Genomic DNA, 17,361 nt, shown 5'->3' with positions numbered 1-17,361 from the left:
GAAATAAGAATACCTACCATTTGCAGTGCTTCTAAGGCATAAAATGAGAATGTAATAAAAGCACCTATTTCCTGGTGCCTACATCAGTTTGTTCTTCCTGAGGTTCTGAGCACACAGTGATGCAGGACATAATTCCTGTCTGCAAGAAGCTCACAGTCTGGCTAGCAAAGGTCTTCTACGGCACCCTGTCAACCAAAATTAAAGCTGGTTGGTGAGTTAGCCTAACTCTCAGCAAGACATTTTATCAAAGGAAAATTTTGGTGGGAAAGAAGGTAAGAGCTGTTGGCAAGAGTAAAGATTGTGGGTTATATCTTTGCTTTCCTATCTTTGCTGCAAATCTCCCATCCACACCTTTGTATTAAAAAATTGGGAAAGGGGACTCCATTAATCACTGTTTTAAAAAATGATGCATGTAGGCCAGGCATGGTGGCTCACGCCTGTAATCCCAGCACTTTGGGAGGCCAAGGTGGGCAGATCATGAGGTGAAAAGATCAAGACCATCCTGGCCAACATGGTGAAACCCCGTCTCTACTAAAAATACAAAAAAATTAGCTGGGCATGGTGGTGCATGCCTGTAGCCCCACCTACTCGGGAGGCTGAGGCAGGAGAATCGCTTGAACCTGGAAGGCGGAAGGTGCAGTCAGCCAAGATGGCGCCACTGCACTCCAGCCTATGCGACAGAGCAAGACTCCGTCTCAAAAAAAAAAAAAAAAAAAAAAACAGATGCATGTAAATGCTGTTCTTTTCCTTCACAACACATATCACCATTTCTCATTTATATTTAGCTATGTTTTCATTAAATGTTGATCTTCCCTGCTGACCATAAGCTTCTGGAGAGCAGGAGCTGTGTGATGGTCCTCACTGTAGGTCCAGAACTTAACACAGTGCCTGGAACATATGAGATGCTCATCAGGTACTTGCTGAATGAATAAATGAAACAAGATGTCTCCATACAATATGGATAGACTTGGTTACCTAAGCAAAAGCCATTTTAGAATATTCAAGCCTTGTTTATGCATGCAGTAATTCTCAGGATTTCCAAGAATCTGGTAATGGCAGTTTGTTTCTGGGGAGAAGAACTAGTGGATCAGGGGTCAGAGGTTGGAGGGAATCATATATGCTATTCTATTCCTTTAAAATTGTATGAATTTTTAAATAACAACCAAACATAAATATACCAGATATAATGGATTTGCTCTATTTGAAGCCCAAAGAAACAAACAAAACCCAAGCCTTTCCATAGGAAAGCAAAATCTTGGAGGGAAGCGGAAGGAGATTGTGCCCTTGTGTGACTAAAATCCTAAGAATCAGGGGTCCTTAAGAATGAGGTTGATTTATATGTACTAACATGGACTGATGGCTAAGATATTAAGGAAAAAAAAATACAAACATTGTTGAATGATCCCATTTTTAGAATAAAAATATAAAATGTTTAGCATATGCAGAGATAAAAATCAGAAGGAAAAACATGCTTACAATGGATATGTCTGGGAGACCGACTTCTAGGGGACTTTTGTTTGCTATGTGTCATATTCCTATAATGTTCCGGGCTTGAATCATGAACATCTGTTGCTTTTATGTTAGGAAAATACTATTAAAAGGCAATTTCACTAAAAATATAAGTATGGTGCCTAACTCTGCTAACCACCTGGGGCATGAGAAGGGAGTCAGCTGGAAGCTGAGGCAGGTTTGAAAACCTGGAATGCGCTGTCCAAACCACACTGGGAATGAAGCTGCTGTTCCTCCATACAGATAACCCTTCTTCAAGCAACTGGAAAGATTTCTTTTAATCCTCAAGCCACTGTTACAGCCCAGAAGCCAAGCCAGCTGAATAACTGGATTTTCTTTCTTTCTTTCTTTCTTTCTTTCTTTTTTTTTTTTTGAAAGAAAGTTACCTCTCTTTTGTATGCAACAATAATGACAGGGGGGTCACAGTAAGCCTCTTTAAATTCTTAAGCTTTAGTGCTTCTCTGTTCTAGGCAGGTAAAACTAAGGTACAGAAAAGTTGATTCTATTTCCTTCACCTGGCTCAAACAGCCAGAACCAAGTTGTTTGGCTTTGCTGTAAAACCCAGCAGTTCTAAATACTGAATGCACATTAGACTCACGTAGGCAGTTTATTGTTTCATAAAAGAAAAAAAAATTCCTGGGGCCTACTCCTCAAGATGCCTACTCAACTGGTTGGGCCTGGGGCCTGGGCATCAGTATTTTAAAGTGCTCCAGCTGATTTCAATGTACAGCCGGGTTTACAAGTCACTGTTCTACCCACTGCTTAATATCCCAGTAACCTTAGAGAAAGGGACCTTAGTCACCATTTTAAAAAATCTTCTTTACACTGTATATTCCCCTCAAAGGAAGGCAAGCTGAAGAAGCCTGTAACCAAGACAACAAGCTGGGAGCACAAAGAGATAGGTCTTCTGTGATTTGAAACCAAAGGAAGCAGAAGAGAAAAAGTAGAAATCTGAAAGCAGGTACTGAAAAATGGAAAGAAATTAGATAACAAAGACATCCTGTCTGAGAAAGTTCCCAAATGTTAGCACGTCAAACTTCTGTTCCACCTCCCAAACTAGGCGCCTTGATACAGATGCCCTAATGGCTGAAAGCAACCCTGAATTAGCAATTAAACCCTTAAAAACTTGCTTTCTTCTTAATGGAACTTCTGGGGGAAAATCAGAATGTCTGCTTTTGTGGAGGTAACAAACCAATTTTTTTTCTTCCAAGCCCACTCTCTCCTCCCCACATATGTACCTGACCCAATTGCAAAGCAGGATGACAATGAAACATGAATTCCTCATGTGCTTGGATTTTCAAAAAGGGTTCTTCCTCCGTATGTGCTCTGACCCTGGAGCTTGGGTTTTGTTCCCAACCAGGGAAGCACTGAGATGGATAAAAGGGCTGGGGACGCTGCAAATTGAAAGCCACAGAGTTGGCCTTTTGTTCTCTTTTCTCAGGCAAGGGCTATTCTATAAAGCAGACATCAAAGGGAAAATTCAGCCTGAGATGAGCTGAAAGTGGACAAAATATGATGAGGCATAAATGAAAAAAGAGAAAGAAAAAAGGAAAAAGGGCCTTTCTGTACCAGAAGAGGCTCTTTTCTGAAAACTCCCTCAAATTACAGCACTTTCCACATTTGGTTCACTCCAGGAAGGGTTGTATCGTACCTAGCACCAAAACGTGTTTTGCCACATTATGAGGAGAAATTAAGACACATGCAAATGGCCCAGAGTTTGGTGGTTTGGCAGTCACAAGGAGGAAAGAAATGTGTGACTCCAATAAGAGTCCCTCTATAGTCATTTGGTTCCCTCGGCCCAGAAAGACAAAGGGGAGTTTATTCAGAGTGACATAAAAGAAGGGTCGCACAAGCAAATCAGTGACGGGGCAAAGCATTGATGGTTTGAAGGAAAACATGCATTATCTTTTCTTAACGGTGTTCAATGAATTTCCTTTATTATTCATTACATTGGCCAACCAGCCTCTAAGGACTTTGGGCAGCCCAATGGAAGGCTCTCAAAGGCCTTTGAGTTTAGCTTTTGGGCTTACGATGGTTTTAATTAGCCACAGGGAGAAAAAAAGCCATCCTGATGTGGGACTCCTGAAGTGTGTCCTACTGAAAGCCAAATGGAGAACTGAGGAATGTCATCCTCTCCACCCAGTCATGTACCTACCACAAAAATCCAACCCTCAGTCCCAAGCTTACACATGGAAAAGCACTGCTTTCCCTCTTCTCCAGGGGTCTACAGATATTTCCTCCTTGCATGTCATCAGATGGGTCTTCCTCCTAAATGCCTCTGAACTTTACTAAGATGATCCATTAGGCCAGGGGTCCCCAACCCCCAGACCACAGAATGGTACCAATCTATGGCCTGTTAGGAACCAAGCCACACAGCAGGAAGTGAGTGCCAGATGAGTGAGCATCATCACCTGAGCTCCACCTCCTGTCAGATCAGTGACAGCATTATATTCTCATAGGAGCATGAGAGGGATCTAGGCTGCATGCTTTGGATATAGGTTGCATGCTCCTTATGAGAATCTAATGCCTAATAATCTGAAGTGGAACAGTTTCATCCTGAAACCATCCTCCCCCACCCCCCACCTCAGTCCATGGAAAAATTATCTTTCACAATACCTGTCCCTGGTGCCAAAAAGGTTAGAGACTGCTGCATTAGGCCGTATGCCCTTTAATCCAGTCTTATGAAAGATTCCATTCTATTCTGAGCAGCAGAAACCCCCAAGAGTCACAATGAGAAGGCAAACAATATTAGGCAACAGGTATTTAAGGTACAATGCAATTTTTAATAGCTGAGGCAGGGCCCCAAATCAAATGATCTAAAGGCCCTTATATCTCTATAAGAACTACATAAAACTACTTCTAATAACAATAATAACAACAACATTTATCAAACCACATGCTTATCAATTAAATGGTAAATGGTATAGAAAACTCTAAATGGTATTTTTAACACACTAGCAGAGTGATTTTAGCAAATCGCATAATCAAGAAATACCTACTGAGTATTCAGTTATGTTCTACACTCTGTACAGATGTGGAATCCCAGAATAATGAACAGCCATCTCTTATGTCTAAATTCCGTAAGCAGCGCCATGGGTAAGCTGTACTCCCCTAGCTCCTCCTCTCCAGGCCCAGCAAAAATGATCCAAATCTAAATTACAGAAGGTATGTTCTGCATTACTTCACTCTCCTATTTCCCTCTATATATCACCAGTAGTGACCCTGATCAAATGATTTGAGACTGCTACAAATAACCCCCAGGGTAAGTTATTCCAATGCATTCAGACTTTATTTACAGAAATGTATACCTCTGGAAGAAAATACCATTGCCTGGAAGTCAGAAGGCCTAAGTTCTAATTCCAAAACAGCTGCTATGGACTTGGAAAAAAAAAAAAACTTGGCCCCTCTAAATCTCAGGGTCCACATCTGTAAAAGAGGGCGGGAACCCCTGGACAACATCATTCATTTACCGGCCATATCATTATTAAGAACCTACTACTTGCCAGGCACTATGCTAAGTGCTGGGCATACTACAGTGAGTAACACAGACATGGTCTTTGTTTCTGTGGAGTATTCAGTCTGGCAGAAGGGAAGATAAATGACATAAAGCATACAAATCACTCTATAATAAAAACGATGATCAGAGCTTTGAGAGCTGTAACACAAAACACCAGTGAGAAGGGATAGGCAAGAGGAGAAGGCTCCAGGCAGAGGGAAGAGCATAGCTAAAGGCTTAAATGACCCAGAGGTTACAAAGATGCGTTCAGGGAACTTAAAGTAGTTCCTTTTGCCTGGATAGTATAGAGGTTACAAAGATGCGTTCAGGGAACTTAAAGTAGTTCCTTTTGCCTGGATAGTATAGAGTGCCAGAGGAAACATGGTAAGAAATGATACTGGAGAGATGAGCAGAAAGGTCAGCTCACACAAAGCCTAGGAGACCTAGAAAAGGAGTTTGAATTGTTCCCTCCAACAATAAATCCCTATGATGCTGCTCAGAGAATGAAGCTGGGATGTATGCCTAGGATCACAGGTCTGAACCCTGAGGCTTTTCCCCATCAAAAATATTTTTAGGCATTCTGGTAAGGGGCTGGTGGGGTTGGACTTCTACTCTACTTCACATTAAATAGGCTTTTGCCAGCTGGTCTGGGAACCTGAACCACAAGAAGAATATTGTGTCCTTGGGAAAATGCAATCTGAATTCTAAATAGACTTCCAAAGAAACTTTTGCAACAAAATCCATTCAGCACTTGTTGGGGAATGTCTGGAAAGCAATGAAACACAGGACCCTGCTTTACTCCATAGAGACAGTTTTTGAAAAAAGACTCAACACTATAATCAGACCAGAGACTATATAGCCAGACTCTTAAACACAATATCCTCATTTTGATTAGTAGGGTTATATTTAGGTACAACCATTGAATGGCATTATGCAGTGCCTATTAGATATTTAAATTACCACAAAACCCCAAATATGTTGGGGATGACTAGCTATTTTCACTCTAAAGAAAGACAATGCAGAAATGGAGAAGGTGGTCTCTTTAGAAGGAAACACGGATGCAAGCCAAGTCTGTAACTTAAACACAATCTTCCTGTGTCTCTGCCCAATCAACTCTTAATTATTCAGGCATTAATTCAACAAATGTTTGAGTGTTAAGTGTCATCTAATTTAGCATGCTGGCATCTCTATTTTTCTTCACTTTCCTTTCAGTAGACAGCCTTTAACTATCTGCACTTTGAAAAATACCTTCTGACACCTGGAATGCCCCACTTTCCTCTCCCCACCCACTCACTTGCTCTACAAATAGTGAGTGAAAGAGAAGGGTTGATAATTTCCCAGAGCTACCCTCCAAATCCCCTCAGGCCATTTTACAGAGTAGCCTTTCTCAAAGTTGAGAGCACATAAATATCACCTGGAGGTGGGTGAGTTAAAATTCATATTTCCAAGCCAAGCCATTTCTGTCCCCCACTCCAATATCCGGACTCAATAGTTCTGGGATAGGGCCCAGGAATTAGCATTTTTCCTTCAATGGATTCAAGGTGGAAGGAATCAGCATTTTTAAAAAGCACACATGGTGACTCTGATGCAAGTGGGTCAAGAACCATACTTTGAGAAATGCTATTGTGGATATTTTGGCTAGCTGAGTCCCAAATCCTGAACAAAGAATGGTTGCTAGTGGCCCAACATTAAACTCAGCCAACAAGAAAGCTGGGTGGCACTGACAAAAGGGGGTACAATAGATGGGAGAGGAAACTAACAGCCTAGTCAATTGCCCCCAACTCTATTTTAGTTTTTTAAAAGATCCCATATTTTGACTTAAATCAAGCAAATGGCATTGCTGTTCCAGCAATCTCCTAGTGACACCAGAAGAGAAACTCAAACAGGCAGCATTTATTAACAGAAAGAAGGTATAAAAGTAGAAGAAACAATGTTAATTTGCTTGGCCCCATCCCACCTTTTTTCAGCCTCCTTACCTCTCCTGCTAGTTGTTTCCATTTCTGTGACTGGATGCTGCTGTGGCAGAGAAGAGAGGCCAAGGTGGGGCAGTCTTCTATCATTCACATTAATGCTTTCCTCTATTACATGAATAATCAAGAGTTGACTGGAAAGAGGAATAAGCAAAAGGCAAATACTCTACTGAGAGGTTAAATAGGATAAAGAAGGCCCCCTGTTGGTTGAGAGCTGTGAAGTGATAAATGAACAGTCAGGATCCCTGCCTCTTTTCATTCTCACTGTTTGCCAGGAACACGGATTCAAAGCCCATAACGTCAGCACTGAGCTTGACAGAAATAATCAGGTATCTGTGTTTTTCCACTGTTCCCCGTAATACCTAGAATAGTCTTCAGCACTTCATGTCAGCCTTAAATGTAAACCAACTGTTGTTGACTCAACCCAGAAGTCGATTGTAAAGGTAGGAGCCTAGATCTGGTCTGATAATTTCCATTGTGGGAAAACAGAGTCTCATTCAAGCTGGCTCAAGAAAAGGGAGGTTTGTGGAAAGAATACAGGTATCCCATTTGAATCCTAGGGTAGGATAAAGCTGGGCCTCAGGAGAACTGGAAAGTGGTTCTGGGTTCATGGTGTCTGTAGGAAACAGCTCTTCTGTCTCTCAAGGCATCTCTGTTCCTCCCTTGCAAGGTCCCTCTGTTTGCTCATGGTTTCTGTCCCTTCAAAAAACTAGCTAGGACATGAACTGTCATGACTGCTCCACTCCCCATCATCTTTTGGCTCTTTTCCGTTACAAACTGCCTTAGGCTCTCAGCTTCCCAATTCTAATTTCCTAAGAGAGGAATACAAAAGGCCCAGCTCTCAGCTCGTCAAGCCCATGTTACCTGCTAGGTGACAGATGGGCTGTCTTGGTGACAGGTGGCCACTCAGTCCAATCAACCTAAGCCAGGGAGGCAGGGTCTCTGGCACAGTTCATGGCTGCTGGCACCTAGCACAGCTGGCACAGAGTGGTTTGTCTGAGATATGGACCAGAAGGCATAGTAAAATACATACGATACAAACCTGATCCTTAGCATGTAATTTGAAAGATAATGACATGTCCATTCATGAGCTTCAAACACCCATAATCTTTCTTATAAAGGATAGTACCTGACCCCAACCCTAAAAACTTAGCCCCCTTTACCCCCATTAAATTAACTTCTTTAAACTGGTAAAAGAATCTAAATATGTCATATTACAGAGGAAACACCATTCTGCCAGCTCCCTGGGGTAAAGAGGGAAGGATAAGAGAGTGTAAGGCAGACAAATCCTGATAAACTGATACCACTGGCCTTTAGCCCATCTCTCTGCAAGCGTTCAGTCAGTTTGCTTTACACCCTATGATCATCTTATCCTCCTCTAAGTTTCTCCAAGTGCCATGTGAGGTCAGTGTTCAATGTTAACTAGAACAAGGCAAGCAGCATCACAAACCAACAGATGGCAATTGAGAGCTTATCATTCTTGGATTATTTCATTCCCTGGAGTGATACATGCCAGAGAGTAAAGCAAGCTATTTTGACAGCAACCTAATAACAGCTGTCTTCTTCCACTTCTTGGCTAACTCATCCCCCAGATAGCCTTCTTTTCTCTTATCAATTCCCTGTTGCAACAATAATAAATGCCACACCTGATGGAGTCATTAGGCACTTTCCTAGTGACAAGTGCCTAGGACAGAGGAGAAAACAAAGAAACACTGACAACCACTGAAAACTGACATATCAGGCCAGGCATGTCAGCTCATGCCTGTAAGTCCAGCACTTTGGGAGGCCAAGGCAGGACGATCATGTGAGCCCAGGAGTTCCAAAATAGCCTGGGCAATATAGTGAGACCCCATCTGTAGAAAAAAAGTAAAAAAAAAAAAAAAAAAAAAAAAAAAAAGCAAGGAATGGTGGCAGTCCCCGCTACTCAGGAGGCTGTGGTGGGAGGATTGCTTCAGCCTAGGAGTTCATGGTTGCAGTGAGCTATGATCACGCCACTGCACTCCAGCCTGGGTGACAGAACAAGACCTTGTCTCAAAAACAAACAACAACAACAACAAAAAAAAAACCTGACAGATTATCACAGCAAGAAAACATGATGGTGGCCATCTCTCAAGATGAGGAACAGATGAGGGGAAATTAAAAGGTTGTATTTCCTGGAAAACAATGTTTCCCAAACTCAAAGCAGGGCCTACTGGAGATTAAGAAAGATTCCAAATAGAGTTTCAAAGACCAGGGCTGTAAAGCCCTAAAGACATGTGAAGGAATTTGATATGTAGTCTTATCTCTCAATTATCCCTGACTAGCTTAGTTTGAGTTTTCCTGTAACTCTTCCCAGTGCTCATGGATTTTCGTCTTATGGTTTCAGGTAAGTTATAGTAGCCTCTGGGGGGAGAAATGGAAAGTATAGTGCCTCTATTGTTGGTACCCAACAGTAGTTTTCAACCTTTTTGTCCCATGTGCCACCTATCATCACTTCTTCAAAATAGCCCTTCAAAATCCCTTACATTTCCTTCACACAAGGGATATTATGTAGCTGTTAAAATGAATGAAGCAAAGCTGTTAAAATGAATAAAGTAGAGCTATACACACTGGCATGGAAAATAGCCTAACTATATTATCAAGTGAAAAGAGACTCAGATTATAAGGAATCATCCCATTGTTATTTTAAAAAAAATGTGTAAAGAAAAAGCTCTGAAAGAATAAATGCTAGTTGTTAATAATGATTATCTCTGGCAGATGGGTTTATGGGGGACTTTCACTTTCTATTTTTGCCATTTCTCGCTTGCTTAAATTTTTCTTACAACACATGCTTTTTTTGCAACGAGGAAAAGGATATTTTTAACCCCTTACAGTTCTTTGATATGTGGTACCACCACAGCTTTAGTTTTCAATTCCAATTTGAACAGGATTTAGAGAGGCTGGAGGGTACAAAGTAACACAGAAGCATCCCTGGGGTTAGAAGAAAGTAGTCTACTCTGTTTATAGTAGTCAACATTCAGTAAGTAAATTCCACTAATGGGATAGAAGACAGTGCAGTAAAGAGATCAAACACATGGGCTTTGGAGTCTGACTTCAAGTCCCAGCCTACTACTAACTTATTCTACATTTCCTCCTCTATTTACTAATAATATCTATTAATACTTGGAGCACATCTAGCATATGATGTGCTCAACAAATAATTATTCTTGCTTTTATTGAAGGAGCTAAAGTGTTGTAATTGAAAATTATTTAGTTATGTCTAATTTAATTTAAATAGTTTCAGTGTAGACACTGTGATAAATATGCCTCTGTGTTAGTTTTATTCTACACCATAGGGTGGTGAGTTAACATTCTGTTGCATGCTGGAAGCCCAATAGCACTGGCTAGAAAGAGTTGATTGTGTACATCTCTTCCCAACTCCTTTGCTACCTTAGTGAGGGGTCAGACTGGTAGCTTGGAATTGACCATGGAAATTGGCAAATGCCATAAATCAGAGCTTTAAACATTTACCACACACCATTGTTAACATCTGAAGACCCCTAATTGAGAATACAAACTCCAGGGGTGATATTAGTTAGCAACTGAAATTTCTAATCAAAGCCTACAATCAAGAATTCCTGCAACTCAGCAACAAAAACCCAGTTTTTTCAAAAAATGGGCAAAGAACTTGAACAAACATTTCTCCAAAGAAGATATACAAATGGCTAATAAGCACATGAAATAAACTTCAACATCATTAGTCATCAGGGAAATGCAAAACAAAACCACAATGATATACCACTTCATACTGCTAGGATGGCTATAATTTTAAAAATAGAAAATAACAAGTGCTGGTGAGGATATGTAGAAATTGGAACCCTTGTACATTACTGGTGGGAATGTAAAGTGGCCAGTTGCTGTGGAAAACAGTTTGGCAGTTCCTCAAAAAGCTAAACATAGAATTACCATATGACCCAGCAATTCCACTCCTAGGTATATACATACCCAAAAGAACTGAAAACAAGGACTCAAACAAATACTTGTATGCTAACATTCACTGCAGCATTATTCACAATAGCCAAAAGGTAGAAACAACCTAAATGTCCACTGACAGATAAATAAAATGTGATCTATACATACAATATAATATTACTCACCCTTAAAAAAGGAACAAAGTTCTGATACATGCTACAACCTTGAAAACATTTTGCTAAGTAAAACAAGCCAGACATAAAAGGACAAATATTATATGATTCCACCGATAACAGGTTCCTAGAATAGGCACATTTATAGAGACAGAAAGTAGAACAGTGGTTACCAGGGCCTGGGGAAGGTAAGAATTGGAAGTTATTGCTTAATGTGTACAGAGCTGCTGTTTGGTGTGATTTAAAAAAAAAAAAAAGTGCTAGAAATAGGAGTGGTGGTTGCATAACATCCCAAATGAAATTAATGCTACCGAAGTGTACACTTAAATATGCTTAAAATGGCAAATTTTGTATGTTATATGTATATATTTAACTAATTTTTTTAAATGTAGTATATGAAAACCACTGAATTACACACTTTAAGTAGGTGAATTTTATGGTATATGAATTACATCTCAGTAAAGCTGCTCTTAAAAAATCCCACAATCAAGGCACAGCGGAATCTTTGGGGGTGGTGGAAATATTCTCTATCTTGACTGGAGTGTTCATAGAACTGTATGCATTTGTCAAAACTCACAGAACTGTACCATTAGAAGGGTGAATTTTACTGTATGTTAAATATACCTTAACTTTTTTCTAATGGGGAAAAAAGTCACACTTACATGCCTCAGCTCTGAAGTACTTCTGATCGTTTGTTCGTTACAACAATGGATACTAGAAATATTTCATTAGGGAAACTGGCTAGTGTTCAGGACAGGTATATCATTTAGAAATATTCAGTTGCTCCCACTTTTGCATGAATTGGATATAAGACTCTGGTTAGCCCAACATTCTTCACCCCTTTAAAATGACACCTTAGGCTCAGGAGTCCCAACAAATCTTATGTCCAGACACTTAATGGAGGACTCAGATGTGCCCTCTAATTAGAAGGTAAGCTGAGTCCTACTGCTAAAATATCGTCACATCTATCTCCGGTGAACCCTTCACACAGTATGGTGGTTTGCAAAAAAAGTACTGGAATGTCTCTGGGTGTACAGGTCAGGCTGTATAACTGTCTTGTGCCTGATTATTAATAAAGTTACGTGGCAGAATTTAATCAGAATTCCTTTCACTGTAATCTACTGGTTGTGGGGGAAAAACCTATAGCACTTACCTACCTCTGACTATTGGAGATTAATGATACCTACCAGAATAGAATCTAATTAACTGTGGAAAATCAAATTGGCTCAGATCAATTTACAACAAACATTTTTGAAACTTCTGTACAAACAGGGGTCTGATCTGATAATTCATTTAAGTAAAACCATAACAGAAGCGACAAAGAAACAATCTACTTTTCCATTCTGGCTATATGGGCTAGTGCGGGTTAGGGGGTAGAGTTGTGTTTGTTACTTATTTATGAGGTAACACTATTAAACGGATTTGTTTCACAGAAACATTTCCCACTTAATTTGTTGCCTGCCCACCTGTTTTATCCAAAGAGTCAGTCAAATAGGGATCCACAAAAAAAGATGACATTTAGCAGTGGCATTTCTTCAAATCAAGCTGAAAGTTAGGGCCCAAATATTAGTGTTCAGCTGTGCCCACTAGCCTCAGAGGCAACATGACATGGTTACTTGTCGCTAAGCCTTAGGACTTCAGCCCAAGCAGCAGGTAACCCCAGAGGGTGGCTGAGCAAAGGGAAAAGGAGGTTTCAACCAAGGCAAAGACCAGCAGAAGAGACTAAGGAAAGAATTCATTCAGTTTGCCTCCATTAAAATACAGAGGGGAAAAAAAAGATTCATTCAGTTCTTTTTTCAAATCATATTACCCTGCATCTTGTCATCATGAAAAGTGACTCTGTATACAACTCCTTAAAATACAGATAAAGAAAAGCTGCTGGGAACCGGTATGCTGATGGAACTCGCTGAGTTGCTGCTACAGCTCTGAGGTCTTAAGTCTCTGGGAACTTAGATCAAGGGAGACCATGACACTGGTTCCATTTCCCTGAGTATTTTATAAAAGGAACATACCCAGTCGTTCTACTAAAATGTAAAAAATAGGTAAACTGCTTGAAGCAAACCTATACATAAAAATCAAGATTTAACAACCAAGAAATTCAAAGGCTACAATTCACATTACCAAAGGAGTTTGTCTAAAAGGCTCTCCGTGGAATGTACTTTTTGCAAGCTGCCTCTCTGCACTAAAAGTAGGATTTAACATATAGATTTGTATCATAAACAGTTTTTCAAGAGTATCTTCTCATTCTAACAAAAGAGATAGCAACAGAGACAAGTAAATTTGGAGAGAATGCCTTAGAGTTGACTCTTAGAAGGAAGCCCACTTAACATTTTATTTTAATATCTATGAATGAGCCAGCACTGCCCCTATTCGCTAGAATCCTCATTAGGGCAGTAGACATGGAAACACCCTCAGCCTTGCTCAGGGATTTTGAAGACAATGCTCCACACCCTCACCCTCTGAGCCACCCCCAACCCCTTATCCACACACATCAAACATACCACTCTCAGAAAACCTTGCCCCGGCAGTACAAAAATTCAATATCCAGACACACTGAATCCCTAGAACAAAATCTGCTAAATGAAAGCTAGTTAGTTTTATAAGGAAAGTGATGGCATAACTGATTTCTGGTGTTATTTCTGAAGATTAAAAGATCAACTGGAAAGCTTTCCTTAAATCAGGCCAACAGAGCATCCCAGGGTGGGGGAACATGATGCTTAAGTATGGAACACAAGGTTTCCTTCACTCAAAAACAATATCCATCCCCCGCCCTCACTCCCACACTGCAGAAAGTAGAGGCTATTTTCCTGGGAATGTACTCTTCAAAAGGCTAGCAGAAGGCTGTCATCCATTCATCCATCTATCCCCCATTCCTACCTTCAGACAGGACAGAAACCTCTCCAACAGGGTGGCAATTGCTTTAGATTTCCTTGGCAAAGGCCGCTCTCGAGTTTTCCTTACTCATCCAGCTCTCGAGTTTTCCTTACTCATCTTGACCTAAGAATCCCTCTGTCAAGAAAATCTGTCTCCTTAAATCCCTCACACCCAATGTCTCTTGCCCTGAGGATAAATATCTTCAGCTTCAGGAAGGCAAAAGCAAGCATGCTGAGGGATGAGATAAAAGGATATTGGGACAATGAGCTTAACCCTGTGGTTGTTACAAACATAAATGACCTGCTTTAATAATAACAACTACCTTTTATTGAGTCCTTACTGGGTCCCAGGAATCATGCTGTACAGACACTCTCTAATCTTTACAACAACCATGCAAGGCAAGCATTATTATCCCCATTTTACAGACAAGTAAACTGAGGTTCAAAGAAATTAAGAAACTTCCCCAAGTTCAAACAGCTAGCAAGTGATAGAACCAAAATTCTAGTCCACTAGTGTCTGATTCCAGTAGTATCCATGCCTCAACCCTTAAACTATACCACCTTCATGATCAAAAGAGAAACCAAATATAATTGATTTTTGTAAAAATCTTAAGTGTGAAGCTCAAAGTAGTTTTTTAAAAAAAATTCCCCTTCCCCCCCGCCCCATGGTAACTCAAGACAAGAACTTTTCTCTTTCCTTGAATTGAGCATCAGTGAGGAAGCTGCTTCACTATGCCAAGGGAGAAGTGCTACTCACAGTTACCTAGTTGTCTCTCAAGAGCAGGAGAGAAGGTGAGGTGAGGTATGGTGGGGTAAGGTGGGGTAAGGTGAGGTAAGGTTGGGTGAGGAGTGGTGATGCCAGGTGAGGTGAGGCCCACACAAGGCACTGGCCCCTGTCAATTATGAGTGAGGTGGAAGGGGCACTCAGTTCTCAGTTGCAAGATCTCCTGACACCAGGAGATTTAATTGTCAGTTGTGTCCCAAAGCCCCTCCAGGGTCAGGGTTTCTGAAGACTTACTACGTATGATTTAAATGGAGCATGTTTTCCCAAAAGGGAGGCTGTTCCTCAGCTGGACCATCTCCCTGAGCCAAAGTGGGCATGGAGGGTGGGAGTACAGGTAGGGTAGAGAATGAGGGTGGCTGGGTTAGCTGGGCATGTGGGAGAGTGTGAGAAGAGAGAGAATCCCTTTAATAGTGTTTTTCTTTTTCTTAAAAATGAGTCCAGGCCGGGCGCGGTGGCTCACGCCTGTAATCCCAGCACTTTGGGAGGCCGAGGCGGGCGGATCACGAGGTCAGGAGATCGAGACCATCCCGGCTAAAACGGTGAAACCCCGTTCTCTACTAAAAATACAAAAAATTAGCCGGGCGTAGTGGCGGGCGCCTGTAGTCCCAGCTACTTGGGAGGCTGAGGCAGGAGAATGGCGTGAACCCGGGAGGCGGAGCTTGCAGTGAGCCGAGATCCTGCCACTGCACTCCAGCCTGGGCGACAGAGCGAGACTCCGTCTCAAAAAAAAAAAAAAAAAAAAAAAATGAGTCCAAAGGCTGTTCTTTAGGAATACGATAGTTAATGATTAAGTCCATGTGCTAAGGTCACGATGCAGTTATGGAAATATAAGCAATCTAATAAAGGACGGAGTGAGGGCAGTAAGGAGTAGGTAGTGGGAAGAAATATTAATTCAACTTAATTGAAAGGTTCAACTTAATTTAAAGGTTAAAAAATGAGATTGAAAATATTCTCCTAACAGTAAAATTAGAAATTTGCTATCGGCCCTTAAAGGAAGCAGGCAAGTGAGAACAGAATGAATGGGCTCCCAGATTGTTTCTGAAGAGTCAAAGAGCCATTCAAGACACACCTTTCAAGGTACCAGGGTCACAGATGGCAATTTTGCCTGTGGCTAAGCAGAGGTGACTGGCCTGCCTCCTGTCACATAGGCGGCCATTCTCCACAGCCCCCCAGCTACAAGCCCTCCACAATATATGGTGGTGTATATCTGAACCACAGGAAGGCACACAATAACTGGAAGCTAATGCAAAAATAAATCATTTGTGTTTTCTGATGTGGCTGGGTTTTGATGGAGTTTGTGAATCACTACTGCCCAACCCTATCCACTGAAGGAGGGGCCAATAACTCACATCCTTTCCCAGCAGCTTCATACGCCTGGCAAAGGTGACCTTGCAACACCACACTCATCTATCACTCCTCTTTTCATGAATCTTTAATGGTTCCCTATCACCAATCGTATCATGTCCATATGTCTCCTCTAGGTATTCCAGCTTATTGTACTCTGCCTTTATCCTACCAATCTGGCATCATCTCCCTTTTCTCACAACATACACCTCCCGCTGGAATCAGTTTCCATTTTGAACCAAACTTATGGCTTCCCCTCTCTCTCTCTCTCTCTACGGCTCTACCAGGGTCTAGACTGCCTCTCCAAAATTCCAGAAAACTACAATGTCAATGTTACTGTGGGTCACTATACATACCCAGCTTCTTTTGGCCATAAAAAAGAGACCATAACTTTAAATATTCTACATTATCCTGCACTGTCCCATATGGTTACCACTAGCTACATGTGGCTATTTAAAGTATTTAAAATTAGTAAAATGAAAAAAAAAATCAGTTCCTCATTTGCAGTAACCACATATACAGTGCACAATAGCCACATGTGGCCACTGACTACCATATCAGACAGTGCAGATATAAAACATTTCCATCATCACATAAACTTCTACCAGATACACAAGAGAATAGCCTAACATATGCTAAAATTGTTTTTTATCACTACTTGGAAAATTTGATGATTCAAATTTCACAAAAAAGAGTGACTAGGACTTATAGATACAGCCCATCTTAAGTAACCAGCAAAGCATCTCTTATCAGTGATCCCAATCCGTTCTGTAAACATCACAGGTAATTGCAACATCGAATATTTTGAAAGGTCATCTGCAGCAGACCTTAGGCACCTTTCAACATAGCTCTGATAGGCTAATCAGCCCATTGTACACTAAGCTCTCTACTAGGCTCTGGGAGTCAATGCAAAGATAACATTACCCAGTGTCCATGCCATAGGCATAAAGCCAGTACAGAGATAACCAAAAAAAGGGGCAGAAAGACATAAATACCACAAGAGAGGTACACAGTGCTACAGGGATTCAAAGGCAAGAGATCATATCGAGTAGGAGGAACTAGGGAGGACTCCACAGACAGGTACATGAATACAGATAGGATTGAGCCCTAAAGAATAAGTAGAATTTTAACAGAAGGAGCCAGAAAGATGAAAGGGGGTAACTGCATGAGGAAAAGGAGAAGCAAGTTAGGGCCCAAGGTACATTTATGAAAAACTGAGCCAAAGAAGAACTATGTGATCCCATTCATCATTCAACAATCATTTGAAACTTTTTCTCCAATC

General features: G+C 41.0%; 1 protein-coding gene across 19 annotated transcripts in view; it reads right to left on the bottom strand.

Annotated features, from left to right (window-relative positions):
* The window catches only part of TMEM164 (transmembrane protein 164), a 181,883-nt gene that overhangs the window by 130,786 nt on the left and 33,736 nt on the right, over positions 1-17,361 (bottom strand). For 2 of the 19 annotated variants that reach the window (XM_047442568.1, XM_005262208.6), the window contains exon 2: positions 6,982-7,109. The exons of 16 other annotated variants lie outside the window; for them this stretch is intronic. In XM_047442568.1, the coding sequence (XP_047298524.1) occupies positions 6,982-7,065 (84 nt within the window). In that variant the 5' untranslated portion in view covers positions 7,066-7,109. Of the gene's footprint in view, positions 1-17; positions 7,110-17,361 lie in introns of those variants that run through there. One more of the 19 variants, XM_017029897.2, reaches the window with a different exon arrangement.

The sequence above is a fragment of the Homo sapiens genome, chromosome X (genome assembly GCF_000001405.40).
Source record: "Homo sapiens chromosome X, GRCh38.p14 Primary Assembly".
Taxonomy (NCBI): Eukaryota; Metazoa; Chordata; class Mammalia; order Primates; family Hominidae; genus Homo; species Homo sapiens.
Note: the sequence above shows the minus strand (reverse complement) of the source record. Positions and strands in the feature narration are given on the sequence as shown.